This window comes from Homo sapiens, chromosome 8, assembly GCF_000001405.40.
Source record: "Homo sapiens chromosome 8, GRCh38.p14 Primary Assembly".
NCBI lineage: Eukaryota > Metazoa > Chordata > Mammalia > Primates > Hominidae > Homo > Homo sapiens.
The window spans coordinates 142004284-142028931 of NC_000008.11; the positions used below are offsets into that span (position 1 = coordinate 142004284).

At 57.4% G+C, this 24648-nt stretch overlaps 2 annotated features.

The window, feature by feature from the left end:
* Nucleotides 16141-16822: an enhancer, noted in NCBI's record as "OCT4-NANOG-H3K27ac-H3K4me1 hESC enhancer chr8:143101785-143102466 (GRCh37/hg19 assembly coordinates)". NCBI's record gives its function as "activates a minimal SCP1, AML or CMV promoter by ChIP-STARR-seq in primed H9 embryonic stem cells {active_cell/tissue: H9 hESC(primed)}" and the evidence as "EXISTENCE:reporter gene assay evidence [ECO:0000049][PMID:30033119]".
* Nucleotides 16823-17502: an enhancer, noted in NCBI's record as "H3K27ac-H3K4me1 hESC enhancer chr8:143102467-143103146 (GRCh37/hg19 assembly coordinates)". NCBI's record gives its function as "activates a minimal SCP1, AML or CMV promoter by ChIP-STARR-seq in primed H9 embryonic stem cells {active_cell/tissue: H9 hESC(primed)}" and the evidence as "EXISTENCE:reporter gene assay evidence [ECO:0000049][PMID:30033119]".

Genomic DNA, 24648 nt, shown 5'->3' on the forward strand with positions numbered 1-24648 from the left:
CGGTGACAATGATCACCCGGGACTGAGCGATTACTTCTCTGCATCCGTGTCTGCCCCTGAGAAATCCACGTGTGTGCCCGAGAGGTGAGGATGGAGATGCCGCCACGGCACCGCTTGTAACCACAAAGCTCAGGAGCCACATGCATGCCCAGCACCAGGAGGAAGCCAGTCAAGCTGGCTCCTCTGTGGGGCAGCAGGCAGGGTTCCCGCCAAAAGCAACAGCCCTTCTGTGGGACAGCAGGCAGGGTTCCCGCCGAAAGCGATGGCTCCACAGCCCTGCTGGGAATAAGCGTCCAGACACACTGCTGGAGGAAGGCAGGAGCCGTGCGGGGACCTGCACGGCATAGGCCACGGATGTAAGCGCCCGCGAAGCGCCGGCACCCACCCGCACGTCCTGTGGGGGCATCCAACCGTGTGATGCGCAGATAAGGGCCCCAGAGGGCACACCGCAGCCACCGCAGGGTGAGCTCTGGAGGGGGTCTCCAGCCTTCTGGGGAAGCTTTAAATTGTTTACAAGAGAATGTATTCATGGATGACTTGTTCAATGAGGAATTAATGAAATTAGAGAGAAAGAGCAGGAAGGAAGTCCACCTCGGCGGCTCCGGGCACCTGCTCCAGGCCCAGTGTTTTCATGGTGTTGTGTCTGATCCTGGCGACTCCTGTCAGTGAAGTCCTAGAGCCCAGTGTTTCAAGCAAGGATGGCGGAACACAGAGCTGCCAAGGACACTGCAAGGTCACATGTCATGTGGTTGACAGCCTACGCTGGGGGGCCTTGGCCTGAAGCCTGGACCTCAACCCTCCCCTCCACGGCATGCGTATTGCTATTTAATGAACTAGACTTGTTGTCAACAAAGGCGGGACTCTCTCTCTCTCACACACACGCACGCATGCGCGCGCGCACACACACACACACACACACACACTCACCCACACACGCACACACACACACAGCCTCCAGTGATTGGACTATGAGCAGGAATCAGGAGGCTTTCAAGATCTCAAGCCAGGGCTGACAGAAACGTGGGAAGGAGAGTGAGGCTGCTGGGGGGCTAGGGAGTCGGCGTGTGGCATATGGCATGTGCCACGTGCTGTCCGTCCCTCATAAGCCAAATGTCTTGAGTGGACTTTTGGCAGCTGCCGAGTCACTGTCAATGTGGGTTCGGCCTGGAGTGCCAGTGGTCCCTGTGGTTGCTGGAAGAGCATGATGCCCTGGGTTAATGATGGAGCAACTGCCTGGGTAAGCTGAGTCAGTGAGGAGATGTTATAGGATCTGACCCCGCCCTTCCAACCACTTTCACAGCAAATTGGGTGAGCTTTGCGGTGAAAGGTGGGAGGGAGTGGGGGCCTGGGTTTGCTGAGCTGGCACTATCCACCCATTCACTAAAACATCTGCAAAGCCTGCAATCTGTACCCGGCCCCTTGCTACCTCTCACGTGCCCCATAGACCTGGTGAGACAAGAACGGGTCTGCCAGCTCCTAGGAGGACTGGAACTCATGAGGTGACTCACAGGCACGGTGGAGCAGGTCCCAAATGCCCACGACATGCAGGGTAGGACACGCCCATCAGCAACCATGGCAACATCATGAGGATGGAGAGAACAGCTTTGCCCACCTGGGGCCACTGGCCGAGGACCTGCAGGTGTGAACCACCTGTCCTATGGCTGAAGACCGAGGTGAGACCTTGCTCAAGGGGCCACACAGCTGGTCAACCTCAGGCCGAGATCAGGAACCCAAATCTGCCTGATTCCAAACCCCACCCTGCACCCCCCTCCCCAACAAGGCTGGTGCCCTGTGAGCATAGAGCCCCTTCCTGGGGGCTGCAGAAATGTGGAAAGGCCTGGAAAGTGAGGCTGGCTGGTGCCCAGAGCCTGAGGACCAGGCCACGCCAGGTGGCCAGGTGTCACCTGCCTCCCTTCTAGAGCCTCCTTCCTTCTTCTCAAGCCCAGGGCCACCATAGAGGTCTGACCTCACTGAGCTCTTCACATTCCTCATGCCCTAGAAACATGTGACAGGAAGTTCAAATTCTCTTGATCTCAATATCACGACTAAAACAGCAAGTCCCACCCACACTCAGCACAGGTGCATGTGTATCAAGATGAACACTTGCAGGTGTGTGGACAGGTATGAACGCCCTTCGAAGGGACCGCCAGGGGTCACTGAAGGTGGCAGCTGGGCTGGGCCGGGCTATGATGCCCCACGTGTTTGGTCACCACACTTCTGGATGCTGCCAGGAAGGTACTTTATGGACGGGATTCACATGTATGGCCAGCGGACTTTGATGAATCCAGCAGATGACCTCCCCGGGGCGGGCAGGTCTCATACAGTCAGCTAAAGGCTTTAAGAGCAAAGACTGCGGCTTCTCAGAGAAGAAGGGATTTGGCTTCAAGATTGCAACATGGAAACCTTGCCTGAGCTTCCAGCCCTCACTTGGACTTCAGGCTTGCCAGCCCCCACAGTCGCACAAGCCAAATCCTTAAAATAAACCTCCCCTCTCCGTGTGTACATATACAGCCTGTATATATCTCTCCATCTCCTGTAGATGCTGCTGTCTCCTGGAGATCTCACACTTGTTCTGTTTCTCTGGCCAGCCTGAGCGACACCGGGGCCCCACGTATGTAGCATTAGCCCCAAAAGCCTGCCAGGCCCCAGGTCCTGCAGCTGGGTGTCTGGCGAGCTGTCTCCGTGCAGTAATGAGGACGGTGAAACCACTCATGAACAGGGATGCTATCACAACAGAATCTGTCATGACAGGCCCTTGGAGACAGTGTGCCGATTAACAGGAGGGGAGTGGGGAAGAAGTCAGGCCATCCACAGAGGACTGTAAGCTACTGAATGAGAAAGGCCGCTGCCCACCGCAGCGTGTACGCCGTTTTCTACATTTACGGAGAGACTCAGGTGTGTGCACACTGTGTGTCCAGAAGGGCTGAGGGCTACAGAGCAGCCTGGAAGAAGCACATCGAAATGAGCAGAGCCCACACCCATCCTCCCGGGGACCATGGACTGCCACCACCTCCCTGCGGACAGCCCTGGGATGCAGACCCCAGCCACCAGGCCGGCTGCACGGACCGCAGGGTGCAACTGCCTCCTCTCTCAGCCCCTTTGTGCAGTGAACAACGTGCGTAGCCATATGGGCAGCCCTGAAATCTTACCTCCAGGGTGGAGCTGGGATGATGAGTCATTGCTGTTTCTGCTATGCTTTTCAACATCTTCTAAGGTTTATACCATGGGTGTTTGTTGATTTCTTATCAAAGACAAATAAAAAGCACTGAAAGCAAACCAGCCACCCTCGTGCTGTGGCCCACACGGCTCCTGGTGCCAGCAAAGACAGCTGGGCATCACCAGCCTAGCAGACAGAGGACTAAAGTCCCCTCGAGCGCCTCAGGGTCGGCTTCCCAGGCCTTCGCAGCCCGTGTGAAGCTAGAGCGTCTGGGTGCCCTGGACCGCCACCCATGCCATCCTCAGTGAAGGAGCTGGGCTCAGACAGGATGCCCAAGAGAAGAATGACCTGAAATGACATCTCCGCTGATGCCCAGCTCAGTGTGCAGAGGCTATTGTCTCCCCGTCCACCCACCCCTGAGGAAGCCAGCCTGTAGCTATCCCCTCAGGCCCTTCCCTGACCTGCTGGGCTCTGCTGTTAGCCCCTGAGCAGCCACCACTCGCACCTGGACACACCGCGCCCACTGCACAGACACACACATACACACCCATCACACACATCACACCCACCGCACAGACACACACACCCATCACATACACCCGGACACACCACACAGACACACACCCCCATCACACACACCCAGCCATCACACATACATCACACCCACTGCACAGACACACACACCATCCCATACACCCAGACACACCACACAGACACACACCCCCGTCACACACACCTGGACATGTCACACACACCTGGACATTTCCACACCCACCACACAGACACATGCGCACACACCCATTACACACCAGACACACCACACCCACCAGAGACACACACACACACCCAGACACATTGCACCCACCATACAGACACACACACACACCCATCACCCACACACAGACACACCGCACCCACCACACACACACACACACACCCAGACACACCACACCCACCATACAGACACACACACACCCATCACCCACACCCAGACACACCACACCCACCACACAGACACACACACACCCATCACCCACACACAGACACACCACACCCACCACACAGACACACCCACACACCCAGACACACCACACCCACCATACAGACATGCACACATGCCCAGACATACCACACCCACCATACAGACACACACACACACACCCATCACCACACACAGACACACCACACCCACCATGCAGGCACCTACTGTGTGTGCACACACACCCATCACCCACACACAGACACACCACACCCACCGTGCAGGCACCTACTGTGTGCACACACACCCATCACCTACACACAGACACACCACACCCACCGTGCAGGCACCTACTGTGTGTGCACACACACCCATCACCCACACATACCCCGTATCTAGCTCCACTGACTGTGGAATTGAGTCATTACTGGGAGCCCTGCTTCCATGCAGCATGAATTCATCTCCTAACTGATCCCACCTTTATCTTGACGAGGATGTGGACTTCATGGGTCATCAGACAAAACTTCCTCTTTACCGAAAGAATACCGGCTTAGAGACCATCAACTCATCCGTTCACTCCACGAGCGTCCAGGGAGCCGCGCTCTGTGCCAGCCTCGAGGGGCATCCGGGTGCTGCCTCCCGATGTTTGCATCTCTCAGAATTCACAAGTGGAAATGCCAACGCGAGTGATGGGATGGGCAGGTGGGGCTTCGGGAAGGGGTGGAGTCCCGAGGGTGGGTGGGACTTCAGGAGTGGGTGGAGTCCTGAGGGTGGGTGGGGCTTCGGGAGGAGGTGGAGTCCCGAGGGTGGGTTCTCATGATGGGACTGGTGCCCTTATAGCATGAGACTCCAGAGAGCTGCCCCATCCACCATGTGAGGGCACAGCCGACAGACGGCCGCCTGTGGACCAGGAGGCAGCCCTCTCCGGACGCCAAATCTGCCGGCACCTTGATCTTGCACTTCCGGCCTCCAGGACTGTGAGCATTAAATGTCTGTTGTTCATGAGCCGTTATCAGTTTAAGGTATTTCTGTTATAGCAGCACACCCGGACTGAGACAGCTGATGAACAGGATGGGTGTGAGGCCTCCTTGGGGCACACTGGCTGGCTGGGAAGACACACACCTAAACGAGTGCCATAATAGTGTGTGACTGTGATGACAGTGGTAGAGAAATGCTGTTCTCTCAACCCTGGTTGCAGAACCAGAGGACCACCAGATGTCCAAGCCAGGAGGGCCCATGGCATCCAAATGACTCAACATGTGGCCAGGGTCAGGGCTCAGAGTATGGCCCCGGTCTGAGCTCAGTCTGGAGAGAAGGGCCATCCAGCCACTCTGCGCTGGTCCTCAGACCTTGGCCAATACTCCACCCACCGGCCTCCATATCAAGGCTCAATATGGCCGGGATGAAGGCTCTGTCTTTAACCTATGAGCTCTCAGTCTGTGAGCAGGACCAGGGCTCAGCCTGTGAGAGAGATCACAGCTCCTCCTGTGACCAGGGACAGGGGTCTCTGTGGCCATGGTGAAGACTCAGAATTTGTCCAGGATCAGGGCTCAGTCTGTGACAGGGGTTATGGATTAGGGGTCAGCGTGGAACCAGAGTCAGAGTCCAGTATGTGCCTGGGATCAGGGCTCAGTCTCAGCAGGTCCGGGCTCTGGCCTCCCCGCGAGGGCCTCTGCTCCTCACTCTGAAAGCAACCTTCGCGTCCTGCTCCAAGCGGCTGGGTGGCCTGGTCCCTGTGCCCTACCCACTTTTTCCTGTGGAAATCCCCTTTGGCTCGAGTCCTAATTATGTTTAAAACCCCACCTTGGCCGGGGGATTTCATCAGGGAGCAGGAGCTCAAGGCCAGGGTGCTGTGGGAAGAGGAGGACAGGTGGCCTGGACAATTCCTGCACAGCCCAATCAGGGCGCCTGCACACCTGGATTTGCATAAATCTCTAAGCCGATTAGAGGGACATTCAGAGGAAGCCTCGCAGGTGCCCAGCCAGCAAAGCAGGCGCCCTCCCTCTCTGGGCAGATTAATTGTTCCCAGCCCAGCTAGCTCCAAAGCCCAGTTCATTATCTCTCCCTGTGAACCGGCACCTCCCCTGCTCCTTCCCTGCTCCAGTCAGTGGCATCAAACTCAGAACCCCAGATGCCTTCTCTCCTATGGCCCTGCATTCAGTCCCCCTGTCCAGGCCTGGGCCGGGCTGAACCCCTCGCTCCCTCCCACTACCCACCCTGCTCAGGGCTAGAGTCTTCAGCCTAATTCCTGCCACGACATCCCCCTGGGTGTTCCTGACACCAGCCTCCCTGCTCTGTCCATTGCACCCCTGCAGCCTGCCTAGAGGACTTGCCGTTCTGCTGGTTCAGAGCAGGCTGGCGTCTGGCCTTCCTGGGTCCCTGCGTCCTCCTCTGGATCAGGCATTGCACCGCCCTGGGAGCTGCAGCCTGCTCCCCTTTGGCCAGCACCCCTGGAGGCTGGTGGATGGAGTGCTGGGCAAGGTCTCAGGACCAGCGCAGAGCACCTGGATGGCCCTTCTCTCTCCGCTTGCCCTTTTGCCACGGCCCCTTCATGCCCCGCCCCCTGCAGGCAGGGGCAGCCTCCCACCCTCCTGAACAAGCTTCTGTCTGCCCCACTCAGCCCTGACACCTGCTCTTCCATCCTGGGGTTGCCGGGGAGAACCCCAGGCCAGGCCAGGAGAAGATTTGGATGGAGGCGACTTTCACGTGCAGAGCCCTCCTCACCCCAGGGGTTGCAGGTGTTGGGGCCTTGGGGCCTGGTCTGATTGACCCTGGCTCCCAGCTCCTTCCCTCTGAGAACAGAACAGGGAAGGGGCTCCCTCCTTGGGTCCATCCTAGCGGCTGCAGAGACTCCAGTGAGTGCAAGAGTGGAAGTGGGTCCTGCGGCAGCTGCAGTTGTCTGTGTGACCCTGGGCAAGCCAGTCGCTCGTGGAGGAAGGAAAAGTTTGGGTTTGTTGGCCTGTGAGCTTCCTCCTGACGGCAACGCTTTAAATCTGCAAGATGAGCTTTGTGAGCCTCAGATGAAATGATGTATTCACAGGCAGTTTTGGTCAGCTTTCGGGGAACAGTGGCATCCACCCAGGCTGGCTCTGCCGTGAGCAGACCAAATGCCTGCCGACATGGGGAGCCAGGTGCTCTCATTCATGCAACAAAAACCTGCTGGGCTTAAGAGGCTGTGGATTCAGAGACCTGGGTCTGCCACCTGCCATGTGTGATCTGCTCCAGTCACTGGGCCTCTGTGTGCCTCAGCTTCCTCTTCTGTGAGATGGAGTGATGGTACCCTGTGCCGTGGCTGTGCTAACATGGTGCCGTGCAGCACATTCCTGGCCCGCAGCAAAGGCTGGATGCACCTGCATTTGCTCATGCTGCACAGAGGTGCTCCGGCCTTTCCTGTGTCAGGAAGGAAAAGGTCACATTTGCAATGCTCATGGGGAAAAGGCTGCTTGAGGCAGAGGACAACGGGGCTAGGGGTTCTGGCAGCCCAGGACCTTCGGACCTGCCCCAGGGCTGAGCAGCATTCGACTCTCTGTGTTCTCGTGGCAGCCACGCCCCAGGGCAGAAGCTGTGGACCTCGATGGAGTCCTGTGTCAATGGGACAAGCCTGTTGTCCCCTGTGATGCCCAGTCTGGCAAAGTGATGGGCACAAACCAAACCCCCGTGGCAGACATCGAGGCAAAGGCTCCAAGGGCTGGAGACCTGGCCCCAGGAGGGACCTCCACGGGACCTCGTGAGCTGTGAGATCTAGGAGCAGGAGGGAGCGGGCTCTGATGGTGGAGTGAGGGGGATGGCACACACTGATGCTGGAAGGGGAACCGGGGTTATCTCCGTTTTAAGGCTTTGGGGGAGGGAGGGAGTCATGGAGGTGATGTGCTTGGTTCCAAAGGGCTGCTGGGAGGCTCAAGTGAAATCCTCAACACAAGAAAGTGCCAACAGTGCTGCCCTCCCCTCCTCCCAGCTGTAGGACTTGGCGTTATCTGCCCCACCTCTGCTCACAACCTCTGGAACCTCCATCATGAAACATGGAGCATTTGTGAGGCTCCAAGTGTTCTCCATGCAGAGGGAAGACCCCATAACCACTACTGCCATCATCACAGTCATCTCCATTGCCACCACCGCCAACATCACCACAGTTACATGGTCCTCATCACCATCAGCACCCCCATCATTACCTCATCACCATCTCCTTCACCACCGTCACCATCAGCACCCCCATCGTTACATCATCACCATCTCCATCACCATTGTCACTCATCGTTACATCATCATCACCACCACCACCTCCATCACCACCGTCACCATCAGCACCCCCATTGTTACCTCATCATCATCTCCATCACCACCATCACTCATCGTTACATCATCACCACCACCACCACCTCCGTCACCACCATCACCATCAGCACCCCCATCGTTACGTCATCACCACCACCATCTCCACCATCACCATCAGCACCCCCATCGTTACATCATCACCAACACCTCCATCACCACCGGCACCATCAGCACCCCCATCATTACGTCATTATCACCATCACCTCCATCACCACCGTCACCATCAGCACCCCCATCGTTACATCATTATCACCACCACCTCCATCATCACCGTCACCATCAGCACCCCCATCGTTACATCATCACCAGCACCTCCATCACCACCATCACCATCAGCACCCCCATCATTACATCATTATCACCATCACCTTCATCATCACCATCACCATCAGCACCCCATCATTACATCATCACCATCACCTCCATCACCACCGTCACCATCAGCACCCCCATCGTTACATCATTATCACCACCACCATTACTGTCGTCACCCCTCCACCATCACCACCACAAATGTCATCACTATCATCATCATCAATGGCTGTCCCAAGTGACCTATGTTTCTACAAAAACGGGAGCTAAGAAGCCTCCCCCCAGGGCTGCTGAGGAACAAGGCTGAGGTCCTGGGCTGTGCCACGTGGTGCCAGATGCTCTGGTCTCCATGGTGATTGAGTCAGTCCAAGTCTTTGGCCAGCAAGCTGCAAACCCCTCTTAGATTTTGCCAGCAGTAGCCCTTGCTCGCTGCTCCATGGGGGTCTTAATAAGCAGGTAAATACGCTGCTTAGTGTCCAGGATCACGAGGTTGCAGCACTGGATCAGGAGACTGTGGGAGGCTGAGTAGCTTTGTGCTCTGGGCCGTGTGAGGCTGACGCTCAGTGATTGCTGTGAAATCCCAGCCCTCCCGGCTCCACCCGAGGCCAGCTGGTCCCTGGTACTGAGCCACGATGTCTCCTTCCTGGCTGGCTGCACCCCTTCCCTCTTCTGCCTCCAGAGAGGCGAGGAAGGTTCTCCAGCAGCCTTTCAGGGTTCCTGGCTTCTGCCTCCACCACGGGCTCTCCCTGAGACTGTACGGCTGTCCTGTTGCTGCAGTAACACATTAGCACAAATTTGGTGGCTTAAAACAGTAGCAATTTTTTTCTGTCACAGTTTTGGAGGCTGGAAGTCTGCAGTCAAGATTGGTCAGGGCCACAACCCTTTGGAAGTGCTGGGGGAGAGCAGGTGCCCCACCCTCCAGGTGCTGGTCCGCTGGCATTCCTCGGGGTATGGCTGTGCCTCTCGCCCCTTCTTCACAGCACCTCTCCTGTGTGTCTCTCTTGAACCTACATCTCCCCTCTCTCATAGGAACACATGTGGGGGCATCTAGAGCCCGCCAGATAATCAGGACAGCCTTCTCCTCGAAACACCCTTAACTTCATCACATCTTTTGCTAAATAAGATACAAGTCATGGGTTCCAGGGATTAGGACGTGAACACGGGGCTGTCCTCCAACTAGCTACAGAGGCCTGGACTGAAGGAGCTCTGGGGGGAAGCAGAAGGAATCTCGAGAGCTGGAGCAATAGAGGACTCTGGAGACTATGCTGGGGCCTCACCCCGCCTTGGCCGTGGGGTTTTAGGGTGACCCCTGAGGCACAGTCCCCCCAGCACTGACCTACTCTTTGCCTTCACTCAACTGCTTCTGCTTCCTGTGGCCCTGTTGCTGCTCAGACCCTGGCCTCCTCCCAGGCCACCCCCTCTTCCAGGGCCCTTCCCCATCTTTTGGCCTCCCTCATTGGCTAATGCCCAGCTATCATCCCAGGGATCCGAGAAGCCTCGGTCCCCCAAGTGCTATGAGCCACCCTCCCCCGGGTGCCACGGCCCCGTCTGCTGCCTGCTCCTGTCTGTGTCTCCGTGAACGGTCAGCCGCAGGGACGTCCAGATGCTTCACCATCAGAACCCAGCAACTAGGACCGTGCCAGGCACCGTACTCATTCACGCAATGAAGGAACGGGTGAGGGAGTGAGCGACTGACTCCAAGGCCCCTGCCATGTAGGAATTCTTAGGCTTCAGGCACAGTGGGTTTCCCGAGTGGCCAACTGCAAAGGGGAGAGCCTGGCCTTGGAGCCCGAGTGTGCCCGGCTCCCCGATGCTCTGCTCACACCCTGCTGCTGCCAGAGTCCCGGGGCTGCCCAGCCTCTCCCCAGGACATGCTGAAACAGTGGCATCCCAAGCCTTCCGTGGATGGATGGCAAATAGGCAGGGCTGGGGTCCAGGGCTGGGCGGGCTGTTGAGATAGAAGCTAGGACCACCGCAGGGCTAGATGCTCCGCCTCCCGCCACCCTCCTATCAGGGACGCTCCCCCTGCAAGACTGTCCTGGGACGGGAGACTGACAGTCCTGGGCTCATCACAAATGGTACTGATCCCTGACAAAGGAGCCTCATCCTGATGTCTGACAAAGGCACCTCACCCATCAGCAAATGGCAGTGGGGGGCGTGGCCAGGGACACCCCCCAGCCCCGGTCCTCTTTGTGTTTTCTTTCCCCACCTCAAGAATTCTCAGGCATCCTCTGAGGAGGAGCAGGACACATGGAGACACCGGGAAAGTCTTTGGAGTCTCTTGCTGGAAGGCCAGAAGCAGTGTTCCTGTCTACAGGCGAGGGCAAGAACTGGCCCCGGTGCAGGGGCTTCTGACGGCGCAGAGCGCCAGGCGAAGCTCTTGTGGAATCCAGGTGCTTCTGCCTCCATTCTGGGCTCGTTTTACCACAGTGCAGGCACTGGGAGCCCTTGCTGTCTGTGTTTTGGGGTCACAGGCGACTCAGGGTCTTGAGTGTGCACAGCCCTCCCTCCCAGGCCGGGGAGCCCCCAGTCAGGAGGCCTGAGGGTCAGGAGGCTGGGCATCTGGTCCCAGGGCCAGGCCGCCTGCTGTGTAACCCTGGACAGGCCATTCCACCTCTTGGGCCTCAGTTGGGTTATTGGAAAAGCAAGAGAAAGAATTCATTCCTACTTCACAGGACCTTGGGATTAAAGGAGAATGTGCCTTAGAGGAGGGGTGTGAAGCCAGGCTCAAGATGCCTGGGAGAAGCCGCCTGAGGCCTGCTGCAGGGGCTGGAGTTGGCTTCCTGGAAGCCCATTCGGCTGCCCTGCACACATCAGGAGACAGGGAGTGATCCAGCGCCATCCTCAGGCACCCAGTGCATCCCAGCTGCTCTAGCCTGCTGGGGAACATGGCATGGCCAGCCTTGCCCACTGCCTGCCCGGACGCACCGTCCTCAGGGACATCCATGCCTCACCTCCCCGGCAAGCACCCCTCCAGTCGCCACCTCCTGCCTCTGTCAGGCCCAGCCCTCAGAGCGCCGCCCTATGTTCCCACACAGACAAGGAGAGCTGGTCCAGGGAGGGCGCCTCTCCCTGCGTGCTGGGCCTGGCTGTGTGGGAGGCAGTGGGCACTCGCCACCACTACCGCCTCCTTCACCGCGGGCCTTTGGCATCGAGGGGCTCTCCGACTGCCAAGGTTTAAATGGCAACTGGCGCAGGCTCCCAGCCCCAGGCCCGTCTCCGCCGGCTCTCTGGACAGCTGACAGCTGTCACACACTGCGGCAGGCATATGCTCGCCCAGCCCCATGTCCCACTAGCCAGGGCGCAAAACAAGCCCTGAGGCCCCTGCCCCATCCTGCCACATCCCAGGCTGCACATGGCCAGAGTCCAGCCTCCAGGCAGGCAGCTCCGTCCTCCTCCAGGCCTCTCTGACTACACCAGAAAGAAGGATAACCAGGCCCTGTGGTTGACACTGCCAAAAATTTGCTCTGTGACCATCAGACACATTAGTCCCTTCTCCCTGGGTCTCACTTCCTCATCTTCACAAAGCAGGGGCCAATGGCCCCACAGTCTCTCCCAGCTCTGACAGCCAAGCTTGCCTGCCCTAAATCATCAGAGACACAAGAGCCTACTCCAGGACCGAGGGGCACAGACCAGGGTGGGGCTGCGTCCTGGCTCATGGGCCCCAGGGATGAGGGGACGTTGGTGATGTTGGGAGACAGAGCACCTGGGACCATCCCTACCCTCCGTTCACTCATGAAGGCGCCTTCTGGGAACCACCTCCAAGTGCTTTTGCCTTCGGGTTCAGACTTCCATGGAAAGACTTGAGGCTCTTGGGCGAGGTGTGTAGGGCTCAGGAAGGGCACTGGCCGTGGGGACAGACGCAACTGGCATGGCCTGAGGATAGGCCAAGAGCCAGGGAGGAGAACAAGGGCCCCGGGGGAGGAGGGGCTGCCAGAACAAGCTGCTGTGACCCGGGGGGCCGACAGCCTGCAGGGCCTTCTCTGATGGCACTGCTGCTCCCTGGAACCAGGGTGGCATCCTCGCTTGGCACAGCTGGCCCTCGGGGCTGCCCAGGCCTGCCCGGGTCCCATGTGGCAGGAGGGACTCGGAGCAGGCACATGGGCCAGGGGCAGGAAGGTGTCGGGCCAGGCCAGCCAAATGCAGGCAGGCAAGGGGCCGCCACAGGGACACAGGTGGCAGCGTGAGTGCTCCCCCAGAGCCGGAGAAGGGGTTCTCTCCAGGGCAGGCTCTGCAGACCTGAACCTGCCCAACCAGTGGCCCCACCAGAGCCAGGACAGCACACACCCAGGAAGAAGCCACGAAGCCCTCACAGAATGCACACGTCACAGAATGCACACTTCACAGAATGCACACTTGAGATTCTCGCAGCCCCGGGGCCTGAGCTGAGGGGTCACCGGCAGTGCCGTGGGAGTCAGGCTGCCCTCCCGGAAGCCAGGCTGCTCCTGAGCAGAGCGGAGGCTCCATCGCCCTCCGGGGGGCACGGTGGCAGTCTCCAGGCTGCACTGGGGTTGGATGAGCTGGGGGTGGAGCACAAGGGGTCAGTCCCTCTCCCCACATCCCACGACTTTCCATGAAGGCCTCCCTGCTCAGGGGCCCCATGCTCAGAGGCCAGGGGTGACCTGGGGTGGATTCTGGACACACCTCTGCCCCCAAATGCCTTAGCAGCACTGAACCAGGACGTGGAAAGGGGCCAGCACTGACCTTAACTGCCAGCAGGAGGTCCACTATCGTCTGTCTAGGTAATGGCAGTGCCTCAGTGTGCCCTGGAGAATTGCTCCTCAGGCCGCTCCAGGACAGGGGCCGGGGTACTTCCTCCCAGTGGCCCTAACCACACCTACTGAGCACCGCTCCTGGGGGACCTCAGGTGCCCACACTCCACTCAGATCTGGGGCCTCTTGTTTTGCCCCAGCACCGGCCGTCCCCACCCCAGCTGCCCTCCATGGCTACTGCTGTGCCAAGGATGGGCTGGGCCCCCACCCCAGGCCCTGCCTGCCTCTTCTTGCCCTCGCGAGGGCTGTCAACCTCCTTCCTGACACTGTCTCACAGGCCCACCAGGTGACCCTGAGCATCAGGCATGGCCCATCCCCATCTCCTGAGGGTCATAGTAACCACCAGAGCCCCCTGTCACTCATGCTTCTGGGGCTTGCTCTGAACCCATGTCCTCCAAACTCTGTGGCCCCGTCCCCCCTCCCGCTGCTTGTCCTCCCCATCCTACTGTTGGGGCTCACTCTCCACGGGGTGTGAATTTCCCTAGAGATTCTGACTCGGGTGGCCTCTGGGTCTCTGCCCCACCCTGCCTCATGCAGGAGCCCCATGCTCAGGCCCTTGGGACAGCGCCCTGGCTGCTCCTTGCCCACACAGGCGCTCAAGCGGAAGGAGCTCACATGTCCATTCCCATCCCAGCACTCAGTAACCTCTCCCATTAACCTTCCCTGCTACAGCCGATTAAGCAAAGTCCCTAGAGAGTTGTAGAATCGGTGGCTCAGAAACATCCCATCCTCTCTGTAATAGTCAGCGTGGGCTGCCACAGCAAAATACCACAGACGAGGTGGCTTAAACGGTGGATACTTAACTCTCACAGCTCTGGTGAGTGCAAGTTTAAGGTCAGGGCATCCACCCGCAGGGCTCTCTCCTCGGGTGATGGGCGGCCGCCTTCTGGGTGCATCTTCACGTGGCCTTCCTCAGTGCACGCATGCAGGGAGGAGAGAGGGCACCTCAGGTGTCTCTTCTTATAAGGTCAGTGTCCCTCCCTGATAACCCCATTTAGGATTAGTTGCTTCCTTAGAGTCCCTATCTCCAAATACAGCCACACTGGGACTTAGGGTTTTAACACATACATTTGCAGGGGGACACGGACATTCACATCACAAGACCCCACCCCCCTACGCCCCCATTCAGGTGACAGTTCAGGAACTTTCTGCCAGAGAGCTGGAGCAAACTGCTAAATGTGGCAAAGTGAGTTTGGGTGCACCCTGAGTTCTCTACTCCCAGCTGAGCGGCTTCCCCACCCCAGAGTTCCTGCTCCAGCCAGCATTTCCAAAGCACTTACCGTGCAAGTCTGAGAGGCAATCGCATCAATTATGCTCACAGAGGTCCTGAGCATGCACTTTCCCACAGCCCTCTCACAGTTGCCTCGTGCACTCGGAGACTCAGGGAGAAAGCACTATCGGGGGGCTGCTCCGAGCCCAGACATCCGGCCCTGGTGGAAGGAAAACATGGAGTCTGCTCTCTGGGCTAATTGGTGCCTCCTCTGACTTGGGCACCTCCCTCAGGCCTGAGGAGCAGGTGGGAACTTTGACCCACTGAACCGAGTGAGGGGCGCTGGTCTGAGGCTGGCTGGGCAGAGATGCATCCGTGGGAGCCGAGAAAGTCCCTGCCGTGCTCCTGATCCTCCTGCTGGGCTCCAGCATCATGCAGTATTCCCTGCAGGCAGGCCCACTCCTCAACTACCCCCTTGCCCTTGGTGTCCCAGAGGCTGAGGGTGCAGCCCAGGATACCTGAGGGTGCCCGCTCAGCACTCAGGCACATAGCCTGGATGTGCAAGGGAGTGGGGCAGCCGTTGGCCCATGAGGGTGGAGCCTGGTGGGTCTTCCATGTCTGGGTGCACAATTCTATGGCACACGCCATGCGGCTCCTAGGGCATCCCGTGGGCTTGAGCCCCAGGTGGCCACTACAGTGGCCTGTTTGAGGCCACAGCCTTGTAGGACCAAGCACCCTGTCTCGTTCTGCCTCACCCTGCCTGCACCCTGATTCCTGAGCGTCTGAAATCACTTGCCGAAGCAAAGGGCTCCCGTACAAACCCTTGTCTCAAGTTCCGTGTTCGGGGGAACGTCTGCATTCAGAGATGACCCTAGTGCGCCCTGCTGCCTGGAGTCCACACCCTTGTGTTCTGAGGACCTGGCGCAGTCGCTGGCACAGGGCAGTGCTCAGTGAGGGTTTCTAAATGAGCCTCCCCTCGGGGCCGGGGCATGGGGTTTGGTGTCTCATCGAAGCTGCTGGCTACCAAGTGAGCAGCCTGCTCACACATGGACTCGGTGACTGTCACCACGTAGAGGCACTAAGACCCTAGAGGCCAGGAGAGCCCTGCTCTGGGGAGCACCAACTGGCACCTGGGCCCCAAGAGAGACTTGGTGAGCTCCTGGGAGCAGGGACAGAGGACAGAGGCCTGGAGGCCACGGAGGGCAGGGAGCCCAGGAGAGGAAAGTGGTTCCAGTCAGCTACACTCACCATGGGCACAGCCCGCCACCCCTCAGCCTCCTCAGCCACTGTTGGGACAGGAAGAGGGGGCGTCCAGGGGCAAGGCTGGGCTCAGCACCTGGGAGCTGTGGGGAGGTGAGGGGTACCATGGGCTGGCCTATGAGGCAGGGCAGCCGCAGGAAGGTCAGCTAGCTGCAGGAAACACCCCTCATACAGCTCCAGGCTGACCTCACACAGCTCCAGGCTGACCGCATTCTCTGTGCTTGGAATGTGCTTCTGCTCCTCTCTGCCTTCCTCTGGGAATAGCAGTTCTCCTGGAGGAGGGACTGCTGATGGCTCTTTCCATTGCCTCTTTGAGATGCAAATTCCCTGACCCAGGGGCACCCCCTCTGTGGGCTGCTCTCTCCCCTGCCAGGCCAAACAATCACTGCCTGGCAGCCACTGGGGCTGGTGGCTCCTTCATTACCTGCCTCACCATGCACCTGGTGGGTTCTTTCCCAGCTGCTGGCTCCCCCAGGGACAGGAGAGGCCGGGCCCTTGCCAGCTGATGTGGGTTCCTGCGTGGCCCGTGCTGGCTGCTCACAGGCGGGCACTGCTGCCGCTGCTGCACCTGCACTTCCTTTCTTGCTCATCTTTGTCAAGGAGGATGCCTGGGGCTGCGGCTCCTCTGCACCCTTCCCGAAACCTGTCAGCCCTTTTGGGGACTGGGCACAGATGGCAGGTCCTGCAGCTCCTCTCATCTTTCTGTTCAGAAGCCATCCTGTCCGGCTCAGGCCAGGTGGCGAGGGGAATCAGCCCCGGCCTCAGGGTTCACACCCTCTTCCCTCCCTGACAGCCATGTGGGCTGATGTCCCCCAGCTGTGCTGAACGCCAAGGTGACCATCAACCACCAGTCACTCAAATGAGGAGGCTTTGATCAGAGGTGAATGGCTCAGCTGTGAGGTGTCATTTGCTGGGCTGGAGTGAGGCCCAAGAGGGTTGTTCAGTCCTGGGGGTCCCCAGGGAAGGGTCTGGGCCTTGCATCTGTCCTCAGGAGCAGCCAGGGGGCAATGGCAGCGCCGTGCTTTCTGGGCAGTGGGGCATGTGCTGGGACCACCCCAGCATCGCCTACCGACGTCCTTCTACCATCCACGAACACATCGCCACAGTCCCTAGAACCCAGCACTTGAGGGGGCAGTGGCCACCAGACTTTAGCCACTGGGCCACCAGTTCCTGCCCAGACATAAGACAAAAGGGGAAGCTGAGGTTGCCCACAGCCACTATGAGCTGCACTGGGACTCTGCTGGTGCGACCCGGAAGAAAGGAGGGGCTGAGGCTGAAGCACCAGCCAAAATGGCTTCCATGGGCTGCTGGGCTGGATCCTCAACAGATGACTCCAGGGTGCAGTCTGTAGTGGCTGAACCATTCCAGGTGTCCACAGTGGCACAGGACATTGTGTGTATGTACATGTGGGCATGCAGGTGCACACATGTCTGTGGGTGCATGTGTGTGAATGGGAGTATGCATGTGTGTGCATGAGTGTGAAGTGTGCGGAGTGGAACTGGCCCTGTAGAACAGGGGTCCACCTCAGCCGCTCTCTTAAGGCTCCACACTAGCCTGGCTTCAGCTACCTTCTGCATCTTGGTGGTCCCAAAGTGCTACAGCCAACTGTCATTTATCTTTGAGCATCAAATATGAATGCGCACACACACACACACACACACACACACACCCCTATCCATTCATGCATCTGCCCATTTATCTAACGGAGCCCCTTCCTCCTGCATCTGGCCATTGGTGGCATCTCAGCCCGGGTGTCTGACGCTGAGCTCTTCCTCCCTGCCAGGCACCCGCCTCCCTCCTGGGTGCTCCCCGTCCCTGAGCCCACTGCATCTTTTGCTGTGGCCCTGACCCCTCCACCTGCAAGGCCAGCCTGGCCTAGGCTAGAAGCCCAGGGGGGCTCAGCGATGCTGGGGATGGCTCAGGCCTCATCTTGCAGCTCTAGGCCCAGGTGGGCTCATGACCCCTGTGACCTGCTAAGCCTCAGCCCCCTCTGTCACACAAATGCAGTTCATATCTCACCTGGGTTCCAGACACCCCGACCCCCCACCAGGCCCACAGTGTGAATCCTGCACCCATCAGGGAGGCAGGGATAGGTGGGCCACCGGGGTGTGGGTGCTGGGCTGGGGCCTGGGGGAGCCTAGAAGAGGAAGTGTCCTCACTGTGTGGACAAAAATGGGAGGCTGGTACCCCTGTCTGGAGGGGTAGGGAGTGGCTGAGATGTGGAGCTGCAGAGCTCAGGTGCTGAGCTCAGGTGTGGAGCTCAGGTGGGGAAGCTCAGGTGGGGAAGCTCAGGTGGGGAAGCTCAGGTGTGGAGCTCAGGTGGGGAAGCTCAGGTGCAGAGCTCAGGTGCAGAGCTCAGGTGCGGAGCTCAGGCCGCGGGCAGGCCCCACAGTGTGGAAGCCAGCAGGATGGAGCTGAGACAGAGCTCAGAAGGAACCAGTGGCTGGGAGTGCTTGGCAGATGACAGGACAGCCACCGATCCAGGGTCGCCCCGGTGCAGAGGTGCCAGGCACGCCCTGCATTCCTGGTGCTGACTCCAGAGGAAGGTTCAGTAAGTTGGGGACGCAGAGTTCCTCAGGAGCACCTGTGCCCTGAAGACAGAGCAGCTGGTGGGAGAAGGACCAGAGCAGAGACTTCCGGAGACCCAGGCAGGAAGGAAGTCCTTAAGAAGGGAAAAGTCTTTGCCATGGTGGGGGTGGGTGTCAGCCCGTGTGTAGGTCTGGGTGGGTAGGAGAGCTTCCCAGCAAGGAAGACTGACTGGCATATGCAGGCCAGGAATGAGACAGCACCCCTGCCCCAATCTTCCCCCACAGCTGACCGCCCCTCAGATACTGACTGAGGCCTCCATCAAGCCCAGATCTTCACCTGCAAGCTGGGTACACTTCCCCCGACGCCCACAGCTCAGTCCTAGAGGTCCCCAGGCTCCAGCCTCACTGGCCCCAGCAGCCTCCTTCTTTGTCTGTCCTCCAGCCCCCAACCCCATGTGAAGGCCAGGAAGCCCCTGCACGCCTCTCCCTGGAGCCCAGCCCAACTGTGGCAAAGGTCATGCCCCAGCATCAGAAAGCTGGGGTTCACAGCTCTCCCCTGTCCACCTTGGCACCCCCAGGCAGGTTGGAGACTTCCCCCGGGGACTCTGAAATGAGACGGCCTCAGGACCCCCATCCCTGGCTGGGTGGCAGCAGGGTTTGCTGCCTGGAGGTAACACCCCAAGAAAGCAAGACTATGACGTAGATGGCTCGAGAGGCAGCTCCATGCTGCCTGCAGGTCTGTGGTGGCCCAGCTATGGCTCAGGGTTCCCATGCTCCACGTTGCTGCACCAGCTTCCAGCAAGGCCTTCTGCGTGCAGCTCCCGGCAGCTGTCACAGGCCTGGGGCTTGACATGACAATTATTCCCTCGCCACCCTTGGAGGTGCCCTCGCCACCCCTGGGGGCAGAGCTGCCGCTGACAGGAGTGATGGAAGGAGAGGCTGCGTGGCCGCGCTGCTGCCGCTCAAACACCTCGAAGCCCACAGCTTCGAGGACAGGCGCTGGAAAGCCAGTGCCAGCTGCGCCAGCTCAGCCGTCTGTCTCAGGCAGGCACCGTCTGCTGTGGCCGGCGGGTGGTGTGTCTGGGCCGGCTCTGCTCTAGATGCCGCTAAGGTGCAGGAGGCATGGCTGCTGCCCTCTGGGAGCTCGTCCTGGGGTGTCCGTGTGACACGGACCTGCCCATGCAAGGTGCTCAGACCCCCTCCACCTCAGAGTTCTCACCTGAAAAGTGGGGATAATAACTGTCTCCACATTACAACCGGGAGGACCAACTCAGGCTCACTCATTCAGAAAACACACCTGGGGCCCCAGCATCTGGTTATCAGGCCTGGTGATGGGATTTGCCACCAACCGAGGGACTGGATGATGAGTGTGTCTGGCTCAGGGCCAGGGGCTGAGATGTCCTAAGCCCAGACAACAGCAGACAGCCAGGCACTAGCAGGGACTCCAGCATGGGCTCCTCATCAGCCAGGCTTCAGTCCTGACGTCGGACCTTCCAGGCGAGGCTGCACCTGTCCTGGACATGGCCAGCTCGTCACCTGGGAACCACCCTGTTTCTTTGCCTTCCAGCGCTGATCGCTCCTTGAAATCACATCTGTGTGTTGCCTGTCTATTGCCCAGCTACTCTGAGACATTCGGCACCCAAGGGCTAGCTTTCTGCCTATGTTGATCACTGCTGAATCCCTAGAATAGTTGGTGCTCAATTCATGTTTGTTGAATGAATTGAAGTTGGCCAGGCAGGGACTCAGGCCCAGAGAGCAGGATGGAAGTCATACATGGGACCACAGTGGGCCCTCCCTGCTGACCCAGGTAAGGAGGGCCCTCCTGCCCACAGATAGGATGGGACTGAGTCTGGGGAAACCGAGGCTGCTGGAGGGAGGAAGCTAAGCTTTCTCCCCTGTGTGATGGGAGATGCTGGGGAGTGAGCCTGGTAGTTCCTGAGCACCCATCTCGGAGTCCAGCAAAACACCCTGTGTCATTGTGTCATTGAAAACTTGAGGAAGAGAATTGAGCCCTTGTGAGACATCAGGTCCCCCAGCCTACGCGCCTCTGTGTGTCCATCCTCAGCTCCATGCTCCAGCAATAAACCTGGGAGTCTTTCTTCATCCAGACCTAGGGAGGCCAGCCCAGGCCAGGGATGGGGAAGAGAGATCAGGGCCCTCCCCATTCCCTACCTTTCACAAGCCCCTAGTCTGAATGAAGGGCTGGAATCGGCCCATGGGCACAGCCAGGCAGTCGTGCAAGAGCATGCAAATGTGGACGTGTGGCCAGCTGGACACATTCCCAGCAGTGGCACAATGGTGTGCCCACAATGGCAGCAGCCCTGGGGCCAGAGAGCTGGGCTGACCCTACTCCACTTCCTGCTTCTCCGTCTCACTGTATGACTCCCCGGTGCTTGGGCCCCTCATCTCCAGTAGAGGGTTGATAACAGCTGTTGCCCTGAGGGTTATGTGAGCAGGGGAGGGTGCGGAGGCAGCTCGTGGCATGCCACGGGCTTTGAGAAATGTGACCTCACCACTTCCTATCATCATTGTTAATAATGAGACGTGGAACCCGGAAGATCAAATATTCTTGACCTTTCAGGGTCTTGAAGACAAGCAGGAGGTGAGGCTTTCAAAAAGCAAGGATTGGAAGTAGAGAGGGCTGGGCAGGCCTGCCAGCTGCAGACCCCAGGGAGACAGACTTCAACCAGCTGGGGAAGCAGAGCGAGAGGAGGCCCAACGAGGAGGCCAAAGGCAGATTTGAGGGAACAAGAAGGAGACTCAGCGGCAGGGTCCCAGACAGCCCCAGGGGGATGGGAGGGCTGGGCAGGGGCTGGGACAACTCTGCCTGTAGCCCAGCCCTAATGGCGCATCCTATCTGCTGCCTTGCCTGAGAGCCAGGAGGACGACTGGGAGCTCCTGGGCCCCAGGCCAGATAGATGGGAACACTGTCCACACCTTGCTCACGGCCGTCAGCCATGCATCCGGTTGAAACTAGGACTCTCATACTGCATTGTGATCTGATCATTAATAAAAGAATGCTGATTTGTAAAAAAAAAAGTGCCTCAACTTCTTACGCACAGCCTAATTTGGGCCTCACACACCCCAGAGGGGAGACCCTGTGGTCCTACAGCCTCAAGAAGAAAGCAAGTCTTTCGGGCTCTGCAATCTCTCCCTGGGAGGCCCCACTCCACCGCACAGGTGGTAGAGGCACGCCCAGGTGCCATCTCTTGGCACTGATTCAACAATGGCTGGAGCAGCTTCTCCCTGACAGGCACCCACAGTGGCCACCCTATGCGGACCTTACCTCCCTCCAGTAACCCAGAGTGGACAGGCAGGACTAACACATCCTGGAGACATGTGGACAATGAAGCCCAGAGAGGGAGAAGTTCAAGGTGATATGGCGGGTCAATGGCTGGTGCCGGAACAGAAGCACCACCCCAGTCCTTCCCACCAGCCTCCCAACTGCTGAAGCACTTTCTCTTCTTTGGGGGCCAGGGCAGGACTACAGATAGCCAGGATTTGAAGACTGAAAGGCTTCAGGGTGCAAACTGGGGTGTGGAGAAGGAGCACACCCTGGAAGACACAATCTGAGGTCTCAGAACCCACCAGCCCTATCCCACCCAGGCCGCTGGGGGACACTCATCTCCTCCCACCAGCCCTATCCCACCCAGGCTGCTGGGGAACACTCTCATCTCCTTCCAATGGCTCATTGTCTCAATGGTACACACATAAGCACACACTCACAAGCATGCTCACCTGGATGCACACCCACAGTCACACACATGCAAACACACACTCGTACAGTCATGCATCCTCATACACACACACATTCACATGCAGCACAAGTCACACACATGAGAAATGGGCTGCTCAGAGTCAATTGTCTACTTTGACAGATAATGCAGTCCAGGTTCCCAGAGTTCTTCAGGGAAGGATTTGGGCCAAGTTATAAGGAAACAGTCTGCTAATACACCCTCTCTTAATCACCATCTGATCCTCTTCTTCCTGTCTCTTCTCCCTTCAATGCCTGCTGAGCAGGACTACAGACTCGGTTCTGTTCAAGTAAGAACAGGAAGAAACATAGAGCTACTGGGCAATAGGACAGATGATTCAGGGAGTGGGCAGTGGATGTTCTGTGGGGAAGGATAGGTGAGTTGGTCCAAGAACGTGGAAAGCTGGACCAGACTAGTACAAAGCCATCTGTGCACTCAGGGATCTGCTCAGATTCTGTGAGGAGGCTCCTGCTCTTGACAAGATGGAACAAAACGTACAGGATTATCTCTCTTACTTGGAATAACAAACAAATAAACAAAATCCATAAAACAATGATTTTCAAGACATTGGACATCAGGCAGTAAAGGACAGTGCTCTCAGAGAGATGGCAAAAAGCAAGCTGAGCCCTCCAGTTGTGATGGTTTCTGCCTTGACAGAGTTTCCAGGTCCTGATGGGGGAGGGGAAACCAAGGCAGAGTCCTGTGGACTCCCTGAATTGAAGAGATGGATCTGAGAATCTGGGAGATCAAGAGGGTTATAGTTTGCAGGGCAGAGCACTGGACAGGGGCAGCTGCACAGAGAGGGAACTCTGGGATCTGCAGGGGGTCTCTTGAGTATTCAGCATAGCACAGATCAACACAGGCATGTGAGGAGGCAACTCAAGGTCAAGGCAAAATACCACCTGAATGGATTAGAAGGAACAGCAACTGGAGCTCACACAGGGCCAGGGATAGAGCCAGCTCCATCAGCCTGACTAGAAAACCTCTTCATCCGCAGGGTATCATCCACAGTCTGGTCTTGCCCCAGCTCCATCAGCCTGACTAGAAAACCTCTTCATCCACAGGGTATCATCCACAGTCTGATCTTGCCTTGGTTACGGGGAATAATTCACCCTAAGCTGGACACCACTCTAGTTCCATCCAGCAAATCTTAAAGGCAAGACACAAAATGATCAAAGTAGTTCCCAAAACAAAGACCAAGATTTATAGGAATACAAAACTCTCCAACACCTAACAAGATAAAAATTCACAATGTCTAGCATCCAATGCAAAATCATGAGACAAGGAAAGAAGCAGGAAAATGCAGTTTATAACGAGGATCAAAGGATCAAAGCAGACTCAGAACTGCAGGGATATTAGAATTAGTGGACAAGGACCTGTAATTATAGCCGTATTCTATCTGCAATGTCCAAAACATTACAGGAATGATTGAGCATGCTCAATAGAGACATGGAAAATAAAAAGAAGACCCCAAACCAAACTTCCAGAGCTAAGAGCTACAAAGTCTGGTAAGAAAAAGTCACTGAATGTGGTTAATGATAGATTACAGATCGCAGAAGAAAAGATCAGTGAACTCGATGACTTGGCAATAGAAACTATTCAAAATGAAATACACAGAAAAAAAATCTTAAAAATTAGCAGAGCTTTAGTGAGGTGCTTATTTGACAATGACAAGCAGCCTAATACATGTATCTGAGGTGCCTAAAGGTGGGAGCAGGAGGAAGAGAAAGAATTGAATAAATAATGGCTGAAAAATTTCCAAATTTGATGGAAACTATAAGACCACAGATGCAAAAATTTCAAAAAACAAACAAAAAACCCAAGCACAAGAAACACTGAGAAAACTACACCGAGCCACATCATAACCAAAATTCTCAAACCCGGTGATGAACAGAAAACCTTAAAAAAATAAAAAGACGTATTTCACGTAGAGGAACATAGGTAAGGATGGCAATAGATTTCTTGCTGGAAACAATGTATCACAAGAAGATTGTGCAGCTACATCTTCTTTAAAGGAATGAAGGGGGAAAATCCCTGTCAACCTCAAATTCTATACCCGGAAAAAACGTCTTTCAGAAGCCAAAGGCAAAACAAAGACTTTTTAGCCATACAAAGCTAAAAAAGCTACCACCTGCTGGCCGGGCGCCGTGGCTCACGCCTGTAATCCCAGCACTTTGGGAGGCTGAGGAGGGCAGATCATGAGGTCAGGAGATCCAGACCCCCCTGGCCAACACAGTGAAACCCGTCTCTACTAAAAAAAATACAAAAAAGTAGCCAGGCGTGGTGGTGGGTGCCTGTAGTCCCAGCTACTCGGGAGGCTGAGGCAGGAGAATGGCATGAACC